This window comes from Homo sapiens, chromosome 6 (genome assembly GCF_000001405.40).
Source record: "Homo sapiens chromosome 6, GRCh38.p14 Primary Assembly".
Classification (NCBI taxonomy): Eukaryota; Metazoa; Chordata; class Mammalia; order Primates; family Hominidae; genus Homo; species Homo sapiens.
Window position 1 is genome coordinate 129,819,883 of NC_000006.12, and position 7,193 is coordinate 129,827,075.

Genomic DNA, 7,193 nt, shown 5'->3' on the forward strand with positions numbered 1-7,193 from the left:
TCCAGTTGGGGCATCTCCATCTGGATTCTTTTCTGTCACTGTGTAACTGATGGATTTTTTCCCTCTCATTTTCCACCGCAATCACAAACAGTAAGTAGGTGCCCAGAGAAGAGGGAGATTAGATCTAGCGTTGACCACGGAAGGAAGCACGTTGATTACCGCCGATGCTTCTTCTCTGGGGTGGATCTTTCTGCCCTTAAAAACTCAGCCTCGAGCTCAGCCTGATTGGGAATTCTAATATCTGCAGATGCTACTATCTTTTCCTTGTAAAATGACAAGGAGATCCTCTAGATCTGCATTGGCAAATGCAGTAGCCACTGGTTTAAATTTAAATTAAATTAAATTAAAAATTCAGTTCCTCAGTCAAGTAGCCACATTTCAAGAGCTCAATAGCCACATGTAGCTAGTGGATACTGTGTAACACAGCACAGATATAGAACATTTTTATCATTGCAGAAAGTGCTATTGGATAGAACTGTTCTGCAACATACATAGAATATTTCCATTTCAGCAGCAAAATTTGGCGCTGAGAAGATACTTGATATCTTTTGATAAGGTGACTATCTTAGAAGGTCCTTTGGGATATGACAAAGTGATACCCTGAAGGAACAAGATTGGAGAACAAAGGATAGTTGTTCTTCCGTCAGCTAAGGATTTTGCTTTGATTACCTGTGTAAGTTAGCTGTGGTCTGAATCTGATTGGCTTGGAACATACAGGTGTTTTTTAGAGGCTGTGTAGAGAGAAGGCAAGGAAGGGAAAAGAGATCTGGCAATTAGCGGCTAGGGGAGAGAGCCAGGATGTCTAATGAAGGGATAAAGCAGTATGCTTTGTCAAGTGCAATGCAATCCCTCCTCTATCTCCCCCGAAAAACCTTGTGTAAAATATTCTTTACTCACTAATTAGTTGAAAATTTAAAATGTTGTTTTTGCTGAGTCTGCTCTCAAAAGGAGTATTGGGAATGTACAATGTGTCCAATTACATTGGGTTTAAACATTTTACTCCCTTGCTACTTAGTATCTTCTTTCTCCAAGGCAATCTGTGCATGTCTTTTCCTTAGGACATTAAAGACTTTTGATTGGCAGAATCAGCTCAATGATCAGTCCCTTCCCAGGTGTGCCAGTGTTTGACATTTCCCTGGAGTCTTCCAGTTTGCAACTAATTTGATGGATTATAGCTGACTGCTTTGAAGCAAGGAAAAATGAATTTGTTTTTTCTCCTTATTTAACAAATATGTATTGCACACTTGATATGTAACAGACAGTGTTTTAGAAGTTGGTTATATAGCAGTGAACAAAATCATATTCCTGCCCTCAAATAGCTTAAATCTCTTCTCCTTTTGTGCCCTATCATCTACCCAAAAACAGCTAGTTACAGATACGACAATTACTAGATACACTGCTTTACCTGTTACACTTGAGCATGCTAAACATTATTTAATTTAAAGATTACCATTCATTTGTAAGGTAAGGTAAAAAGATTCATCTGGATCACACAGTTATTAAGAGATAGGGGTAGGGTTCCAACACAAACTTTCCCCTTTCTCTCTTCCCTTTTCCGCCTCTTGAGACATTATATGCGTAGGTGAACCAAAGATGGGAGGTGGGAGAAAAATCAGATGTGTCCTTTGCTTTTATATTTCCCATAGTGCCTAGCATGATATCCCAGAACCTAGCAAAATTGTCTGACATGTAGGAGGCATTCAATAAATATTTGTTGGCTGGTTAAATAAATAGCTACATAAATGGATGGGAAAATGGCATCGTGTGCAGTGTAGGCATTTAATCCATATTTGTTGTTAAAGGCTACTCCAGAAGTAGGATAAAATTAAATTCTCCTGAATTAGATTTGGCTTACTAACCACCTTCATTTAGGTTTCAATTATGCAAATCAGTTTTTTGCAACAACTTAGGAGTTGGTATTTTTTTCATAAAATATAATTATTAGATGCATATTAATAGTGTAAAATAATAATTCTTAATGTTGGAAGGATATAATAAAGTGGGTATGCTCAAACTTCTGAGGGGAGAATAAATAAGTACAACCTTTCTGAAAACCAATTTGAAAATATTTTTCAATAATTAAAAAATTGTCACACCATATGACCTAATAATTCTACTTCTAGTGATCCATTTAAAAGAAATATCCAAGAATGCAAATGAAGACCTATCTAAGGTCTATCTACTTAATGTGAGGAAAAAAAGCCAAAAAATTCAAGCATCAATATTAAGGACTAAATAAATTATAATATTTATAGTATAGAAAAATGTACAGCCATTCGAATTATCTTTAATAACCTGTTTAGAATATAATGTTAAGTTTTAGAGAAGCAGAATTTAAAACTATAGTATAATCCAAAGTATTCAAATAATGCACACATACATACACATATACACACACACACAAATGTTGGCTGAGATTATCTCGACTCTGAATTGTAAGATTATGAGTTATCTTGGTTTTCTTCTTTTTGCATTTTTTTTGTTTTTAAACAATAAAGAACATAATACTGTGGTAATCTCTAAGGGTGTTAATGTACAAAAATATACAGGCATAATAAAGAAATACAAACTCAGTTTTAGACAATGAAATGTTATATCAACTTTTAAAATATTGTTTAGATTAACAGTTTGATATTTTAAAAAGGTGTCATTTAAAATACTTAGTTGAAATAATATTTTTGGTTTGTTTAATTATTGGGTATGTGGGAATGGTGGTGGTGAATATTTTTCACTAAGAAGAAAGTCAAGTGGTAATTAACTGTTTTTTAGGATGTATTTGAGCCTCATTTACTGAACTACCAAAAACATTTACAGAATAAAATAAAATGTAAAAGAAACAGCTAAGTAAGAAATAATAAATGGAAAAGTTGTAATTTTATTGTCCTCTATTACAAATGTGAAATATTCCCACATTTTTTCATATTTTATGAGAACTGTTTATACAGTTGAAAGTTTCTATAGAAGAATTACATTATCTTCATATGAACCATATTGTATTTTCTTCCTTTTTTGACAATTTTTACCAAAGCTATATCTATGGATGCTTTGTTATGCATTTACTTACCTAGCAATTCATGTTTCTAAAGTGTATAAAGCAACAACATTGAGAAGTGCTTTTGTTCTTCTGTTAGATATTTGTCATAAACAAACTTCCCTATCTCGTAATATACATATTTGCAATTTTATAGGATAATCTCTACAGCTTTAGTGATACTAAAGAGCTTTAGAATTTATCAGTTCAGCTATTAAGGTAAATTGGTTGAACAAAACCCATAAAATTTTAGATGGGAATCTGATCTTTATATTGCAAACGTGAAAATAGTTCTCATATATATTTGGGATTATTATCAGCAAAAGAAAATATACTGTTCATTCATTTGGGACATAATTTTTTTAAGTAAAACATTATTAAAGGAGTATATAAATGGATTTAAATATAAAATAACACCATGGTATCATAACTTTAAAGCATATTTGTGAAGAAGTTATGCATAACATAAAAGTATTATCCTTCTTGAAAATATGAAAATATTAATCCTAAAAATATGCATCAAAATACTGGGTAGCATTCTACCAACTTATGCTTTTATATGAGACACTGGAAAAGTTAGTTAAATAAACGTTACTCTTGGCCTTTGAGAAGGTTTTATTTATCATTTAAAGCAATAAAAACTAAAGTGAATATTTAGTTGATATGTTTGATATACAATATTTTTTGCTAAAATATGCATTCTAATTGAATTTTTAATTTTTTTGTGTCAGGAGATGTCATCAAATAGACAATGGTAATCATTTTAATGAGTAAAAGAGGAAAACCACAGATTACTCCTACGATCAGAAGAAATAAAATGAAGGAGTAACACAATAGTAATTACCTGAGCAGATGGATTTCTAATCCTTGAGATAAACATGCTAATTAAGCTACACTACAGAATGACAAGATATTAAGGTCTTCTGAGTCTGGAGAGATTGTTATTCTAATTTACCAGTAGAACTTAATTCTCATTATATTAAAAAGTGCTTAATCAACCAAATCTTTTTTAATTAACAAATATATTTAGGCAGTTTTAGTATTTCTGTAAATTTCTTCCAAGGGTGTGAGTTTTACAGGGGCACACTTCCTCATCAGTATATTCATGGTTTTTTTTTTTTACTGTCTGTACTTTGCACAGAGCAGAATTGAGTTTTCTTGTCTCTCTAGCAAGGCACTTTTTCCTGTGTGCTGTCAATGGGGGTTTTAATTGCAGAATCAAAGCTCATATTGCGGGCACTTTCATAGCTACCCTATGCTGCCTTCCTTAAAAGATAAAAAATCTTTGTTAGTAATTGGAACTCATAGCCCCTTGACTGATCAGGTGAGCTCCAGGTTTTGTTACTTCCATGGCCAAACATTTTAGAAGAAATTAACTGGAAGAATGGGAATAATGGATGGGATACAAAAGTTTGTGTGATAAGTAATGTGAGAAAGAAGCAAAGGAGCCAGTGCCATATTTTCATGCTTACATGTACATGGTAAGTTTACGTTTTCTAAACTAGTAACTGATCAATACATTGCAGTTTTTGGATGGACACATAAAATACATAAAATCAGCATGACATTTCTTATTGGGAGAATGAATGCCTTTGTGGAAGAAATGCATTTTTAGGGCAAAAAGACTCAGGAAAAAAATCTAGGCAATGGCTTAGTTTAGTTTCTCATTTGGGTGGGTGCGTGTTTGAGGGAGTGTTACTTTCCTGTCCCTTTTCTTATGCTTATATTTTAGTTGTAACCATAATAGGAACTTATTTTATATCAGGAGATACTTTAACTTATTAAAATGTGGTAAATATTTAATACAGTTATAAATACTTATCTCAGTTTACATCCAATTCAACAAGCATTTATTGCATAATAACGATATTTTTAAAAACATAGGACTGGTTATACAGAGCTATACCAACTTAACAAAATATGATCCCAATCGCTTAGACCCTTGCTACTCAAAGTATGGTCCAAGCACTGGCATTTCTTGGGAATTGTTAGAAATACAGAATCTTAGGCCCCAATTCCTGCCATGTGAACCAAGATCTGCATTGTAACAATATCCTCAGATAAATCAAATACACATTAAATTTTGAAAAGCACTGTGTTAGAAGACCACAGCCTAAAAAAGGGAAGTAATTTCATAAGAAATACTCTAACAGAGAACAAATACCAGAGGTCAATCAAAGAACATAATTCTGGCTTCAGGGATTCACAGTAGTTTTGAATCTGCCCCTTACTACATTATACTTTCCACAAGATACATCAGCAGCTTCTAAAGCATGCCTCTGGTCAAATACATTTGAGAAACAGTGCATAATGTACACTATAGCTTAGAGATGGCTTGTTCATAATAGTAAGTTAAAGATTTTAGCCAGGCATGATGGCAGGTGCCTGTTGTCCCCGTTACTCAAGAGGCTGAGGCAGGAAGATTGCATGAGCCCGGGAGTTGGAGGCTGCAGTGAGCTTTGATTATACTACTGCACTCCAACCTGGGTGAAAAAGTGAGATCCTGTCTCAAAACAAGTAAATAAACATTTGGAGAAATCCTGAAATAAATAAATCTGTTTTACTTAAACCCAGGATTTCACAAATAAACATGAAACTGTTTTTTCCTTTGCACAGCAATATTACATCGTTGAGAACCAGCCTTTTATGGAACACACTTTGAGAGACACTGCATGTTATGAGTTTGCAACGTTTTGCTTATGAAGTTTTTTACTAGAGTTGTTCTGCACTCCATTAGCTTTTTGCCTTTTTATGGTGAATATATTTAACCTTGAATATAAGTTTGAGCAAATAATAAAATTTAGCTCTGACACAATGTATGTAATATTATAGAAATTCTGAGGCAAATTAATTCAACTGTTCTGTTAAAAATTATCCAGATCTGGATAGATAAAGTTGTCTTTGAACAAATAGTATGCTAAAGTCTGGCCTCCACATATCATTGAAATTAAGCCGGATCCTGCAAGTAAATGAAAGGGAAGTTTTGGTTAACTATCAATAATGAATAATTCATTAGTGAGATTATGAATAAGAACAATTGTCATGACTAAAATAATGTTTCTGAAACTGACATAGCATTTGAAATAGAATAGTTTATAGATTCAGCTAAGACAGGGTAGGTATATAGTCTGAGGATGGTAAATTGTTGCAATTTAAAACTTCCTTCAGGGAATAGGTGCATGGTTCTGTCAAATGATAGTAAGGAGTTCTTAAAACTCAGAAATCAAAGGCAATGGAGTCAAAGCACATGCCAAGGAATTCACGATTCTCAATTCTTTTAGCTCTTCAATCTGCCTTTTGTTTGTGTTGTGGTTGTTTAGAATACATTTTTTTCTAAAGTGCTTTCCCTCTAATTATAAAAGGAAAGCGTGTCCACTAACCTGGGAAATATTTCAAGTATAGAAAATATATTTTAAAAAACAGAATCTCACCTCCCTGAGATTCTAAACTATTTGGTTTTATGAAAATGTCTTTAGTTCTGATTTCATTGGCCCAGTGATTCTTGTTTGTTTTAAAATATTGATCTGGCCTTACACAGTTTTCATAAATCTGCTGTTCTTTGTGTGACAGTAACAGTATAACTCCCATAAAGGTAAAGTTTCCTGAGTTAAGAACTCTGACAGGACTGCACAACTTCCTCACACAAAGACACATGTCCAGAGTGAGACCATGAGATAGAATTTCCCAAATGTGTAGCCACTGTTCTCTTACATTTAAATTTTTCACTCAAAGGAAAAAAAAAAAAGCCTAACTCAAATGTCACACTGCAACTTTTTTTTTTTTTTTTTTTGAGATGGAGTCTTGCTCTGTTGCCCAGGCTGGAGTGCAGTGGCATCATCTTGGCTCACTGCAACCTCCGCCTCCTGGGTTTAAGTGATTCTCCTGCCTCAGCCCCCTGAGTAGCTAGGATTACAGGTGCATGCCACCATGCCTGACTAATTTTTGTATTTTTAGTAGAGACGGATTTTGCCATGTTGGCCAGGCTGGTCTCGAACTCCTGACCACAAGTGATCCACCTGCCTAGGCCTCCTGAAGTGCTGGGATTACAGGTGAGAGCCACCACGCCTGGCCACAGCAACTGTCTTCTGAGTAATCCAACCAAAATTATTGAAGAAAAATAGTAATCCAACTCTTTTAGCAAATTGAATTGGCCATTCCATTA